This window comes from Homo sapiens, chromosome 11 (assembly GCF_000001405.40).
Source record: "Homo sapiens chromosome 11, GRCh38.p14 Primary Assembly".
Taxonomy (NCBI): domain Eukaryota; kingdom Metazoa; phylum Chordata; class Mammalia; order Primates; family Hominidae; genus Homo; species Homo sapiens.
In genome coordinates this window covers 46,905,901-46,919,640 of record NC_000011.10, presented here as the reverse complement: position 1 = coordinate 46,919,640, position 13,740 = coordinate 46,905,901, and the positions used below count along the sequence as shown (strand labels likewise).

Below are 13,740 nucleotides of genomic sequence, written 5' to 3'. Positions count from 1 at the left end.
AGAAATGCTGGCATATCAGCTGGGAGGGAAAAAAGCGATATACTGGGCCATCAGAAAGTTGGGCATTTGGGCAAAAGGAACAAAACAAGATTCAACCTGGAAAAATGGAAGGTGGTGAAATTAATCCGTATTATTAATATGCATTAGGGAGAGTAGACCACAAAAGGAAGGAAGACTAGAGACAAGTTTATGATTTTATGCAGTAAATCAAAAGTTAAATCTGAGGGAAGGACCTACAGACTGGGGCTGGAAGGAGGCTGAGGGCTTTGTGGGAGTGCAGCTGCCCATGAGGACTCCTTTCCTGACCCCCTCCCTTCCTTGTCAGGATCAGAAAGTCAAAGAAGGTGAAGAGGCTAACAACAGTGATTTACAAAGACAGCAAGGAGGAACTAAGTCTGTATGGGCCGAATCTGGGCCTCTGAGCTGGAGCAACAGGACCCAGACAACCATCTCAGGAAATGAGTGAATGAAAAGGGGCGGGGGGGTCGGTGAATTATTTAGCCCTAGAACAACGCTGCCTAGACCGGGGGAGGCCAGGGAGAAGAAAATCTCCGAAAAGGAATTTTGACAGTGAGAACGCCAGTTAAGATACAGCACTCCAGGCCCCCTGATGTCCCTTGTTTGATGTCAATAAAGACCCAAGAGGATTATGCATCCACAAGCCTTGCGTATTCGCAGACATCAAAAAAGTCTGGACTTGGGGCCGGTAGGCGGGGGCAGGGTCACGTCCAGGCGACTTGGGTCAGCTCAGGTGCTCGTCTGAAGCATAGAGCTGGAGTGAGCGGGGGCGAGACTTGCTGCTAGGATAATTTTTTTTTTTTAAGTTAGGGAAATTTAAGCAGTAGTAATAGCGACAGGGAGGGGGCTCTCTCTCGGGCCAGGAATGTGGGGGCGGCCTGAGGAGGAGCGGGGCCCCGCGCAGGAGGCGCCGGCGGGTGGGGTCGGGGGACCAGGGAGCCGGGGCCGAGGGCGGGAAGGGGCCGGGCCGGCGCTGGGGGCGGGCCCAGGCGCGGTGGCGGTGGCCGGGGCTGCGGCGCGGGGGGCGGGGCGGTCGGGCCCGGGACACCCCCTCCCGGTCCCCTGGCGGGGCAGCGTCGGCTCTGGCAGCACTGGAGGCGGCGGCGGCCCGAGGGCGACTTGCGGGGCGCGCAGGCCGCCGTGCACCCGGGACGCTTCCCCCTCGGGGACCCTCCGCGGGCTTCTCCGCCGCGCCGTCCGGCGGGAGCCGGCGGGACCCCGGGCGAGCGGCGCGGGCGGCACCATGAGGCGGCAGTGGGGCGCGCTGCTGCTTGGCGCCCTGCTCTGCGCACACGGTAAGCGGCGCCCGCCGGGAAAGTTTGTCCCTGGGTCCGGCCGCTGCAGGACTCGCCTCCCGGGACCTGGACGGCGCGGGCCGGGGCCTGAGACCCCTCGCCCTCGCTCCTAGCCGTGGCCCTGGGGCTGCGTGCAGGGGAGAGGACCCGGAGCGGCCCCGGCTCCAGCAGTCCGAGCGGGGGCATCAGCGGAGGCGCTTCCGCGGGTTCGGGTCTGGGCCGGGGCGCGGGTCTGGGCCGGGGCGCGGGTAAGGTCCGGGGCGTTCGTTCGCTCGCCCTCCCTCGCTGCTCTTTCAAGAGCGGGGGCTGCTTCCCTTTCAGGTTAGGTCGGGGGCTCTGTGTCCTTGGTGCGAATGAATGCGTGCGAAGAAAGGGAGGCGGGTGAGGAGGGTCGCTAAACCCATAAATTGTAAATAGCCCTCCTTCCTGGGGCTGGGGGCTCGGGCGGGTTGCGGAGAGAGGCCCCGGTAGAATCTGGTACTTGGGCACCGGGATTCCTCTACTCGGAGAACGATTCCCGGACTCCAGGTCTTGCTCCCACCAAGGGGCTCTGGGGCACTGTTTGCGGGCAGCATCTCCCCTCGGCGGTGTTTCGGGGTCCCTCTCTTGGCTGCGGCCAGTCAGCTTCCAGCCCTGGATCGTCCTAAAGGGAGGTGGTTGGAAAGGGGGCTGAGGAGGAATATAGGGAAGAAACTGCTGGAAGGCTCCCGCAGATCTGCCCTGGCTGGGGTAGGGGGGCAGGGGGCCGGTAACCCTGAACCCCAGAAGGCAGCCGCCGGGCCCTCGCGGCAGGGTCCCAGCCCTCGGGGGAGCTGGACGGCTGCAGCAGGACTCCTTGGTGCCCGTACCCCCTGTTGTGTGGGACTAGGGCTCCGATGGAATCTGCTTCTCCGCGGGCTCTTAACGACCCTGGGTGCACCCCGTGATTGAGCAGCTTTCCCTAGTTTGTGCCCAGAGATCAAAGAACTTTGATCTTTGAACCCCAGCCCTATTCACCCATCGCTATTCATCGTGGCGGGAGTTCCGAGTCTCCCCATTTGCCTCGCAGCCCCGATGAAGGGAGCTGGGGCTCAGAATGGAGGGGTCTGGAGACCCTGCCTGGTCTTTTACCGGTTCTTTCTTTCACGTAGGACAGCTCGTGTGGAAAAAGTCAGTGCAGATTTCCGAACTTGCCTGGCAGGGCGTGGAGATGTCTAGGCACTCGTTTTAAAGATTGGTTTACCTCCCAAATCCAAAACAGAGTTTTCATGTCTCTTATTTAAACTACCTGTGGGTTTTCAGGGGCTTTTTTCCGCGTCCTCTCTAGCGCGGACTGAGCTCTTTCTCTCCGAAGAGCGGTAGCTTGGCCGGCCCACGTTCCGCTCCGCTCTGCGCTCTCCCCTCCCCGGCTCTCTCCTGGAAGGTTATTTGTAGCCTCTTTGGCGTGTTGGGACAGCGGCCCTACTGGGGTAGGAATGTAGCTGTTCTTCCCACCACATGGGCCCCTTAAAGGGACAGCTTTGCTTTTTGGGGGGTTTCCCCCTTCGGGTTGCAAGGAAAGGGGATGGAACTTTCCTCTCAGCCCCCTGGAGGAAGTTTTGAAAAAGATCAAGGGAAATGGCAAGGCACTGGGAAAAAAAAAAAAAATTAGGGTTAAAACGGATACCAACAAAGCCAGAGAGGAGATTGTCGCCTTCTGCCCTAGGGAAGGGGGAGCTGGAAGGTTCCGGGCTGAGACTGGCCAAGAAGATTTTACTGCTCCAGAGCTGTCAACGCTGCAAATATTACATGTGCATAGAGGATGGGGGTGAGAATGGGGGGAGAGAATTGCGTATGTCTAATGTTTCACAGAAAAAGAATGGGAGGATTCGCGGTAACGCTTTTAGGTTTCTTTCTCTTTTTTTTCTTGGAGAGGGTGTCTCACTCTGTTGCCCAGGCTGGAATGCAGTGGGGCAATCATAGCTCACTACAGCCTCGACCTCCCAAGCTCAAGTGATCTTGTCATCTCAGCCTCCTGAGTAACTGGGACTACAGGCATGCACCACCATACCCTACAAATTTTTGTTTTTTTTTCTAGAGATGGGGTTTCACCATGTTGCCAAGGCTAGTCTCCAACTCCTGGGCTCAAGTGATCCACCTGCCTCGGCCTCCCAAAGTGCTGGTATTACAGGTGTGAGCCACTGTGTCCGGCCCAGGTTTCTTTTTAAGGAAAAAAGTTTAATAGAAACGTCTAAGCATGGGAAGCTTTCTGTGCACATGTTTGTAAGGGTAGGCAGTGGGGTGAAGGTATACACATCACCTGGCCTGATACTGAGCCATCCTTGGAGGTCTGGGGGGTCAGATTCACAGTTCACCAGTAAGATTGAGCAGTTTCAGAGCCTGGAACCAGCACAACCAAAAATACCACCAAAACATCTTTTGGACTGACACTCAATTCCAGGGGCTCAGGGAGACAGCAGTTGTGATAAATGTAGTAGTAGATCCATTAGGCAGACCTGACCTCAGCAAGGCATGAATTAAAGACACTAAAGTTTAAGGTGATTTTGGGAGGCTGAGACTAGCGGATCACTTCAGGTCAGGAGTTCAAGACCAGCCTGGCCAACATGGCAAAACCCCATCTCTACTAAAAATACAAAAATTAGCCAGGCACAGTGGCACATGCCTGTAGTCCCAGCTACTCGAATGGATGAGGCAGGAGAATTGCTTGAACCTGGGAGGCAGAAGTTGCAATGAGCCAAGATCACTCCCCTGCACTCTAGCCGGGGCGACAGAGTGAGACTCTATCTTAATAAATAAATAAAGTTTAAGGTGCTTATTTGGATGCTGCTAGTCCTTGGGGCTTTTCCTAGAGCCTATTGGTTTGGACTCAGCCCACATAACTCTCCAACCTTAAAGATTTTGGAAGGAAACTTGATGGCTGGTAATAGCCCTGAGTGATTTTCATCCTGAAGTTTGAAGTAAGGGCATGGATGACAACCATTGGAAGAGTGGAAAGTGTGTTTGTTCTAGAGGTCTCATCCAGGTAAGGGAAATGTTAAAACTTCTGCCTAGGCGTGCTTGGGTAGATAGAAGGTTGTATCTGAAAATAAGTGCAGAGCAATTGAGCTGAGACTGGTCTCCTTTCCATCTCGCTGTTGTCGTGACCAGGGTTGTCATGGTGCTTGAGTGACCTTGTCCCTGATCTGTTGGGCTTGTGAAACATACTTGGCTTGTCACTGATTTTGGATTTCCTCTTCTGTACCCTGATGAATATCAGATAACATCTTTTGGACTGGCACGTGGTATTAAGAATGACAGGTGCAAGGGAACCAAGTCTGGCCATGTCTGATACAGAGCACGTTGGGTATGTCCATCTTCTGGGCCAGCAAAGAACACAGGAGGTCACAGAGGACACGGTGTTTTATAGCTCTTTGCTCACTCTTTCTACCGATTAACTGCCAGTCTTAACTGTTAGAAGGAAAATAGGAGAAATTGTTTATGTTGCTGCCCCTTTAAAGAAAAAAAAAATACTGGGGGTTCCTGAATAGGAACAGAATTTCAGGGACTACTTTAAGAAGTAATCTTGTCTTTTTTATGATTGGGTAAGATTACGAGACAGTCTGTGCCCTTGGTTGACTAGGTCTGTTAGCCTGTTCCAGCCATGGTCTCTCTACATTCCTTGATGCAGCTTAGCCACGAGTTTTGTCACAGTTGCCTGGACATGGGGCATCTGGGCCCCAGACTGTGTCTGGACTGCCATCTCATCTTCAGCAGCGGAAGCCCTCCTCCCCTCCTCAGCCTGTGAGGATTCAGTGTCCCAGGGAAGACTCAGTGCTGACTGGTTAGCTGGCAGAGCCTGAGTTTGACCTTATAAATAGTTCTGATGACTGCATGGGCTTGTCACTCTCACTCCAGCTTAGAGCTGGCAGGAATGAGTTCCTCGTACAATCGGGAGCATTCCTCAAACTAGGCTCCACACCCATTCACTTGTTCATTCATTCAGCAAACACACATATGTCAAGCATTAATATAATCACTGTATACGAAGCTCAGCAATTAAGAAGCACCCACAGACCTGGGTTTGAATCTTGGCTCTGGCAATTCTTGGTGACCCTGTGCAAAATCTCCCTGAACCTCAGGGTTGTTACCTGCAAAGGCGGGTAGGGTAGGGGAAGGGAAGTAGTAATAGATTATCACATAGGAATATCATAAAATTTACCTGAGATAATAGCATGTTCAAACTATGCAGCACAGAGCTTGGCAACTACTGTGTTACTGTAGAGCTTGATAAAAGTTAGCTGTAAGCAAAGTCACCTAAGTGGATCCGAGATGATTCTTGGCTTTAGAACATGGGAGCCAGGTAAATAATTATGCTACCGTGTTCTGTGCTAAAATTGAGACTTGGTCCTTCATTCATTGCAGCTGGTCTTTTGCTTGTCTCTTTTAAAGATCTGCCCCTTCTTTCTCCCCTTGAAAACGTGATAGAACCGAAGCATAGTTCCCACTTGTGCCCACTCCTAGAAAAGAAGTCTGCTAAGCTATAACATCAGTCTAGGGGAACTCATGTCGCCTTAGTTCTCTTGAGAGAGGTCTGGGGAAATGGAGCTTTTCCTCTGAGAGTTTCCCTTCTTAAGTGGTCAGGGATGCAGCCTAGCAACTTCTCCTGCTAAGATTCCTGTGACATGGGGTGAGAGGGGCTGGCCAGGGACTCTTGTAGCTGGAACAGTTTAGAATTCCAAGCCCTCCCTCCCATTGGCCTGAGAAAGGAGTCAGGCTCCAGAGCTCATAAGGTAGTAATTGCCCCAATTTGGGAGCTGGGCTGTTGTGGAGCCTTCGCAGCTACCATTTTCAATCAGGAAGCCTGTCAGCTTGCAGGCCTAATTGATGTGGGTCTCCAGCCCCGAATAGCCCCCAACCCCTAGTTCCTCCACCTCAAAGTTTGACCCCTGTTGTCTCTTTTGTTTCTTCTTTTTAAGTTGGTGCCAGTGATGTGATTTTTGGGAGCTGCGGAAAGTTGACCGTAACCAAGAGCAGCTGTTAAAAAGAGCCAATTCTCTAGCTTCCTGACGGTTGTCTGCCTCCATTTTCTGTTGTGCGTTTTTGATTTAGCAAGAAGCAAACATCCTAGGTGCCCTTGGGCGCCTCTTACGCCCATCCAAGCAGACTTCATTCTTTCACTGCTCGTAGGCATTCCCATTCTTGCTCACAGATGAGCGGACTGGCTGTTAGCGCTCCCTGACACCCTGTTTCCCCATGCGGAATAGGACTCCCCCATCATTCAGGTTCGAATGAGGGGAGGGGCGCTGTCTGGGACCCAACTGGGGATAGCCTGGCTGGGACTTGCTGCAAGCCCTGACTTGGCCTATGGGAGCTCCCCCTCACCTCTATGCACAGCTGAGGATCAGAGCGGCAAGCAGAGCCGGAAACAAAAGACTGGGAGCAAACCTCCCATCTAGCTGAGAGGCAGTGACACAGAGGTGCTGCTGCATAATTTATCACCGGAGGTTTTCTGGAGCCGGGAAGCTCCTGGCTCCAGGCAGTGCCTTTTTGCGGGAGAGGGACCCTCCCTCTGTCTGGGTGTAGGGCAGAGCAGGTACAGAGAAGGGTATCCAGAGAGACACCTGATTAGCATGTGAAATAAAGAAGCTGCAAGGTTGTAAGTGCCTCCAGGGATCTCTCCAAGCTCGGCAGCTCCACTTCCTGTCACGCCTTGGGGGAGGTGGGGAGGGGTAGTGGCCTGCAACCACGCGCTGGCATGGATGAGGACAAGAGACAGCTTCTCTGTTGAGTTGACTGTAGCCTCCTTCTAACCAAGTGGAGAGGCCAGGTTATGGCATCCACAAGCCTAGCAAATAGGAAAGGGGAGCCCCAGGTTTTCCACCCTCCTTCCACGGGCAGTTTAAACAATAAGTTTCAACTACAGGCTCCCAGAGCCAATAAAAGCCAACAACTCTACAATGTATCTTCCCCAAATGAGAATTTCTGCTCTTCTAGGAATGATCTCCTCCAATGACAATTTTTGCAAATTGTGGGATATGTGGATTTACAAATTGGGATATGTGGTTTAAAAAATCCAAATGTATTTCTGGAGCAGTTAGCATTTTTGAGAGCTTTGCTGTGTCCCTGGTACTGTGATAAGCATTTAGTATATGATATCATATTTATTCCTCACAATATCCTTATGAGGTAGGTAACATTAGATTCCCGTCTTACATTGGCCAGGTGCGATGGCTAACGCCTGTAATCCCAGCACTTTGGGAGGCTGGGGTGGGTGGATCACTTGACGTCAGGAGTTCGAGACCAACCTGGCCAACATGGTGAAACCCCATGTCTACTAAAAATACAAAAATTAGCTGACGTGGTGGCACATGCCTATAGTCTCAGCTACTCAGGAGGCTGAGGCTGAGGCTGAGGTGGGAGAATCGCTTGAACCTGGGAGGCAGAGGTTGCAGCGAGCCAAGACTGTGCCACTGCACTCCAGGCTGAGCGACAGAGCGAGACTCCGTCTCAAAAAAAAAAAAAAAAAAAGAAGATTCCCATCTTACAGATGGGAAACAGGCTCAGAGCAGTTTCCTGTCATACAAATAGTGAGTAACTGAGCCAGGATTCCAGGCTATCCCAGAAGATCTAGGTTGGGAAGGTCTATATTTCATCTTGGATTGACCTCTCCTCTGTTTTCAGACATCTTCTCAGGGAGTCTGAATGCATAAGGAATTACTTCTCAGGTGCTTCTTGAGGGAGAGAGACTTTATTTTTATTTATTTATTTATTTTTTTTTTTTGAGACAGGTTCTCACTCTATTGCCAAGGCTGGAGTGCAGTGGCATGATCATAGCTCACTGTAGCCTCGAACTCATGGGCTCAGGAGAAGAGAGAGACTTTAAAAGGTTTCCAGAAAAATGTGGTTTGTTGCTCCCTGAACAGCCATAAACAAATGTGGTTTGTTACTGTGTGGACCTTCTGATTTGAGATGTAGGGGGAAGGGAAAGCAATATTTTGAGCAGCCCTTCACAGAGCACAGCCATGTTTGAGCCCTGTTGGATTTGTGAAATCTGTTGACAGCTTCCAGGTAGGGCAGGTAGAATTTTGAGGATCTATACAAAGATAGCCTGGCATTGGCTACATTACTAGGTTGAGAGAGAGGACATATCCAGATGAAGATAATGGGATTAGTACAAATAACAAGAAAAACAATAACAGCTGTCTAGTATGAACCTCATACGTATTATTTCATTTAGACCTCCCAGCAACCCTATGAAATAGATACTGTTATTACTCCTGATTTACAAAAGTGGAAGCTAATCCATTTCTTAATTGCTCTGTACTTTAGTTTCTGGATTCTCTCTCCTGTCCTTGGCTCCTCAGAATTAGTTGGTGATAAATTAGGCAAAGATTTGCTGGGTGTGGTGGCTCGTGCCTGTAATCCCAGTGCTTTGGGAGGCCGAGACAGGTGGATCACTTGAGGCCAGGAGTTTGAGACCAGCCTGGTCAATGTGGAGAAACCCTGTCTCTACTCTAAAAATACAAAAATTAGCCGGGTGTGGCGGTACACACCTGTAGTCTCAGCTACCTGGGAGGCTGAGGCAGGAGAATCGCTTGAACCCGGGAGATGGAAGTTGCAGTAAGCTGAGATTGTGCCAGTGCACTGCAGTGTGGGTGACAGAACAAGACTCCACCTCAAAAAAAAAAAGGGGGCAAGGATAAAGGATACCATGTGCCTCAAGCTCTTTCAGAGAAAGGCAATAAAGCAAGACTCTGCAGTTATTCATGCCACCAACTTAACCCATGGTGGTGGTACTGCTGCCTGGTACACAGTAGGGTTTTCAAACATCTCAAGTCCTAAAATAGCAGGTCTTAATCATGGAGTGGTTGGATGTGACAGTTCTGGGGTAAGCCAAATCTTTAATAGTAATAACAAGAGCTATTATTTATTGAGCACTTAGTATGTGCCAGGCAGTAATGCTAAGTCCTTCTTATGAATTAACTAATTTATTTCTCATAACATTCCTGTAAGTTAGGGGATTTTATTATCCCAATTTTCCTGATGAGAAAATTATATATAAAGAGGTTAAATAGCTGCCCAGGGTCAGACAGCTAGGAACTTAGCAGAGTCAGGATTTTTATCCTGGGGAGTTTTGTTCCTCCGTGCTTAACATTATGTTCTTCTGCCTCATAACTTTGGAGGCTAACCATTAAGGACTTCTTTTCTGTATGTAACAGTAGCAAGAGAGGGCTGAACTTGCTTGGACCCGCAATCATGTGCCCGACATGTCCCTTTCGAAACGGGCCACTGAGGAGAAGACTTCACCTGGTAGATTTTCCAAACCAACCAAGTTAAGCTGGCCTCTAGGAATCGGGAATAAAAGGGACCATGGGACAGAAATAAGTAGAAACATGGCGTGTCAGTTTCACAGCCGGATAATACAGCTGGTGAAAGGAACTCTTGTAGGAGAAAGGAGTAAACAAAACCTGGGTAGGACAAAGAGGCTGCCTTGCAAACGAGAAGATTCCTGTTCTCTCCAGCACTGGTTAGGTAGGAAATAACTACTTTTATTTATGATATTCTGAGTCTCTTTTCCTTTGACTCCAGCTTTCACAAGATTCTAGAGGAGTGTTTCATTCATTCATTCATTCATTCAACGAACTTGTATTTATTGCTGCCAGTGGATAAAAGGAGAGAGGCATATGCTAATATGCTTTAGCATATTATAAACGAATGGTGATTCCTCCTTTTTTTTTTTTTTTTTTTTTTTTTTTTTGAGACGGAGTCTCGCTCTGTCGCCCAGGCCGGACTGCGGACTGCAGTGGCGCAATCTCGGCTCACTGCAAGCTCCGCTTCCCGGGTTCACGCCATTCTCCTGCCTCAGCCTCCCGAGTAGCTGGGACTACAGGCGCCCGCTACCGCGCCCGGCTACTTTTTGTATTTTTAGTAGAGACGGGGTTTCACCTTGTTAGCCAGGATGGTCTCGATCTCCTGACCTCATGATCCACCCGCCTCGGCCTCCCAAAGTGCTGGGATTACAGGCGTGAGCCACCGCGCCCGGCCGATTCCTCCTTTTCTCATTGTAATCCTAATAGCTTCCACACTGGGGTAGCCACCAGACTCCAGAACACTCACAGGGTACTCCTTAAGCCTTCTCATCTCTGGTTCAGCTTGAAAAAGCTGGTCTGTAGCTGTGAGTAGTCACGGTCTACCCATGTGCCTCCATGTGACAGATGTGGTCCACCTTCAGCTGTGCATTCTATGGAATGGTGGAGAGCAGTGCCGCTAGACACTTGAGTGTGCATCGGTGTCACCCGGAAAGCTTACTGAAAGTCCAGACTCTGAGATCACACTAAGAGAAGAATACTAGTTTAAGTGTCAGAATGGGGCTGCCATCCTGGCTCTCCTACTTACCTTGTGACCTTGGCCAAAGCGGGTGCCCTTACCTGTTGGATGGGCCCTGCAGTCATTGCTCAGGATTATTGTAATGATTCAATGAGAATGCAAGTGCATATGCAAAAGTAGCTCACAAACTAAAGAGAAATTGCAAAGTATAATTATTTGTTATGGGAAGCCCTGTTCCCTGGACCAACAACACTCGAGTGCTGATTCAAAAGTGCTGGGACGCCAGACTTTCCCCACTTCATTACTTTACCTTCCGGCGAGGGAAATGAATCTTTCTTTACCTTAGCAGTAACCAGAAAGAGGTCACTGTTTGAGACCCATAAACTCACTGCATATTTGCTATTGGAGAACACATAAAAGAGAGGGACCCAGAAGTTGTAAATTCCCCCTTTTGACCTTGGGGTTTTGGAGATTCTCACAACAGTAATACCATTTATTGGGAAGCAGTATAATCACCTGCCTGGGTGTGAATGCTGGCCTCAACCCTTAGTACTTGTGCAATCTATCTACAGACTTAACCTTTCTGTGGTTCATTGTCCCCAGCTGTAAAGTGGTGATAATATTAGGTTGGCGCAAAAGTAATTGCAATTTTTGTCATTAAAAGTAATGGCAAAAACCGCAATTGCTTTTGCATCAAACTAATAATAACAGTACCACCTCCTAGGGTTGTTGAGAGCCTTCAGTGATGTAGCATATGAAAAGCACTTAGAAAAGTACTCGGAGGGCACCTGGTAAGTATTTAATAAATGATGGGGCCAGGCGCAGTGGCTCACGCCTGTAATCCCAGCACTTTGGGAGGCCGAGGTGGGCGGATCATGAGGTCAGGAATTTAAGACCACCCTGGCCAACATGGTGAATCCCCGTCTCTACTAAAAATACAAAAATTGGCCAGGTGCAGTGATGGGTGCCTGTAATCCCAGCTACTCAGGAGGCTGAGGCAGGAGAATTGCTTCTCGGGAGGCGGAGGTTGCCGTAAGCTGAGATCGCGCCACTGCACTCCAGCCTGGGCAACACAGCAAGATTCCATCTCGGAAAAAAAAAAGATGGTTATATTATTATGAAGCTTTTGCTGTGTGTTAGCCCTGTGCTAAGCAGTTTATATGGGTTAATCTTTACAAAGCCCTTTGAGTTAGAACTGTTAATATTCCCATTTTATGGATGAGGAAACTGAGGCCTGGAGGGATTAACTAACTTGCTCAAAATTGCGGAATTTGTGGTAGAACCAAGATTTGAACCTTCATCTCTCTGACTTTAGAATCTATGTTGTCTACTACTAAGTTAGTGTGTCTTGTATACCAGATGGATGTTTCCCTTCTTTCCTTTATATCAGGGCTGTCCAGACTTTTGGCTTCCCTGGGCTACACTGGAAGAAGGATTGTCTTGGGCCACACATAAAATACATGAACATTAACAACAGCTGATGAGCTAAGAAAAAAGAAATCGCAAGTAATCTCATGTTTTAAGGAAGTTTACGAATTTGTGTTGGGCCACATTCAAAGCCATCCTGGGCCATGCAAGTCTCAGGTTGGACAAGCTTGCTTTATATGAAAGCCGTGAGAAAGTGGTAAGATGGCGGGAGTGGGAGAGATGAGATGTAAAAGGTAAGATTTTAGTTAACCTCTAGAGAAACATCCTATGAGCACATTAACATATATCCCAAAAGCTGGATGGCTTCATGATCAAAGATACCTTGCGGACAGACCTTTTCCATAGTGAATTGCATTAGGTGGAGGGGCTAGAGCCCAGGCCCCTGGAGGCTAAGGGAGCTTGCGATGTGGCTGGCAGCTTTCAAGGCCAGAGCATAGTGAAGTGTTCTAATTCAACACTTCTTAAAATGAAGGCTGCATTTTGCCACCCACAGTCATTTGTTTTCTTTCTTCACTCACCATTCTTTTCCTTAAAAAGGGTTAAAAGCTGCCTTTATGATCACAGCCAGGACTTGAGTGAAAAGGCAGAATTCCACCTCTGAGGACCCCAGAGGGACAGCAGTTGCCCAGAAGAGCTGGCTTTTTGGAGTATAATGTGTCTGTTTACTGTATGAATGCCCAAGTCAAGCGTTTGCCTGACCGGTGGCTGCCCGCCCTTCACTGCAGCGGACGCTGAGATGTTGATTTGACATGCAGGAAGTCGAGGCCCTTCAACTGCCTGCAACTAACTTGATGCCCACCGATGGAATGCTTTGTTCCTACAGTCTGCGCGGGGGAAATCGGGACTTCTGTTATCACTCAGCCAAAGGCGGGGGTGGGGCCCTAAAAAAACAAACGGAGCTTAAGGTTCTTCCCTACCAGTATGACTTTTCATTTGCACGCAGCCCCAGGACACTGCTCTACTTGCTCTATTCTGGTACTCTGATTCTTAATATCAAGGCCTTTTGGAAAAATTTAGCCTCCACAGCCCTGCATCTGCACAGCCCTGCATCTGCACACCCCAGCCTCCATTATTGAACATCTTTGGTGTGCCAAGGCATAAGATTAGTTTTTTCCACCTTTATTTTCTTGTCTAATCTTTGTTGCTTTTTTTTTTTTTCGAGACAGAGTCTCGCTGTGTTGCCCAGGCTGCAGTGCAGTGGCGTGATCTCTGCTCATTGCAACCTCTGCCTCCATGGTTCAAGCAATTCTTTTGCTTCAGCCTCCCAAGTAGCTGGGACTACAGGCGTGCGCCACCACGCCCAGCTAATTTTTGTATTTTTAGTAGAGACAGGTTTTCACCATGTTGGCCAGGCTGGTCTCAAACTCCTGACCTCAAGTGATCTGCCCGCCTCAGCCTCCCAAAGTGCTAGGATTATAGGCATGAGCCACCATGTTCAGCCCCTTGTGGCTTTTTTACAAACAAGAAAACTGAAGCTTAAGGGGCTACGTGACTTGCACAAGGTCAACTGGCTGGTCGATGGAACCCAAGTCTGTCTGCTCCAGGTCCAGTGCTTTGTCCTCTGCCTAACCTCCTCCTCCTATTCCCCCCTACTTCCTCTCTGTCCTTTCCACAGCTTTCATCCTGAACTCCCGTCTGGTACATCCCCACTCCCTACTGTGTGTGGTTAGCAGCATTTCTCAACCTCTGTTGATGTTTTGGGCCAGATAATTCT

General features: G+C 49.6%; 1 protein-coding gene across 2 annotated transcripts in view, besides 7 other annotated features; it reads left to right on the top strand.

Moving 5' to 3' along the window:
- Nucleotides 362-866: an enhancer, noted in NCBI's record as "NANOG-H3K27ac hESC enhancer chr11:46940326-46940830 (GRCh37/hg19 assembly coordinates)". NCBI's record gives its function as "activates a minimal SCP1, AML or CMV promoter by ChIP-STARR-seq in primed H9 embryonic stem cells {active_cell/tissue: H9 hESC(primed)}" and the evidence as "EXISTENCE:reporter gene assay evidence [ECO:0000049][PMID:30033119]".
- Nucleotides 927-1,156: a silencer, noted in NCBI's record as "silent region_3319". NCBI's record gives its function as "represses an Ori minimal core promoter by ATAC-STARR-seq in GM12878 lymphoblastoid cells {active_cell/tissue: GM12878}" and the evidence as "EXISTENCE:reporter gene assay evidence [ECO:0000049][PMID:35858748]".
- Nucleotides 1,091-13,740, top strand: part of LRP4 (LDL receptor related protein 4) — a 61,834-nt gene continuing 49,184 nt past the window's right edge. For both annotated transcript variants that reach the window (NM_002334.4, XM_017017734.2), the window contains exon 1: nt 1,091-1,313. In NM_002334.4, coding sequence (NP_002325.2) covers nt 1,262-1,313 — 52 coding nt within the window. In that variant the 5' untranslated portion in view covers nt 1,091-1,261. The remainder of the gene's footprint in view (nt 1,314-13,740) is intronic.
- Nucleotides 1,167-1,346: a silencer, noted in NCBI's record as "silent region_3318". NCBI's record gives its function as "represses an Ori minimal core promoter by ATAC-STARR-seq in GM12878 lymphoblastoid cells {active_cell/tissue: GM12878}" and the evidence as "EXISTENCE:reporter gene assay evidence [ECO:0000049][PMID:35858748]".
- Nucleotides 1,357-1,526: a silencer, noted in NCBI's record as "silent region_3317". NCBI's record gives its function as "represses an Ori minimal core promoter by ATAC-STARR-seq in GM12878 lymphoblastoid cells {active_cell/tissue: GM12878}" and the evidence as "EXISTENCE:reporter gene assay evidence [ECO:0000049][PMID:35858748]".
- Nucleotides 2,030-2,901: an enhancer, noted in NCBI's record as "H3K27ac hESC enhancer chr11:46938291-46939162 (GRCh37/hg19 assembly coordinates)". NCBI's record gives its function as "activates a minimal SCP1, AML or CMV promoter by ChIP-STARR-seq in naive H9 embryonic stem cells {active_cell/tissue: H9 hESC(naive)}" and the evidence as "EXISTENCE:reporter gene assay evidence [ECO:0000049][PMID:30033119]".
- Nucleotides 12,045-12,877: an enhancer, noted in NCBI's record as "NANOG-H3K27ac-H3K4me1 hESC enhancer chr11:46928315-46929147 (GRCh37/hg19 assembly coordinates)". NCBI's record gives its function as "activates a minimal SCP1, AML or CMV promoter by ChIP-STARR-seq in naive H9 embryonic stem cells {active_cell/tissue: H9 hESC(naive)}" and the evidence as "EXISTENCE:reporter gene assay evidence [ECO:0000049][PMID:30033119]".
- Nucleotides 12,878-13,712: an enhancer, noted in NCBI's record as "NANOG-H3K27ac-H3K4me1 hESC enhancer chr11:46927480-46928314 (GRCh37/hg19 assembly coordinates)". NCBI's record gives its function as "activates a minimal SCP1, AML or CMV promoter by ChIP-STARR-seq in naive H9 embryonic stem cells {active_cell/tissue: H9 hESC(naive)}" and the evidence as "EXISTENCE:reporter gene assay evidence [ECO:0000049][PMID:30033119]".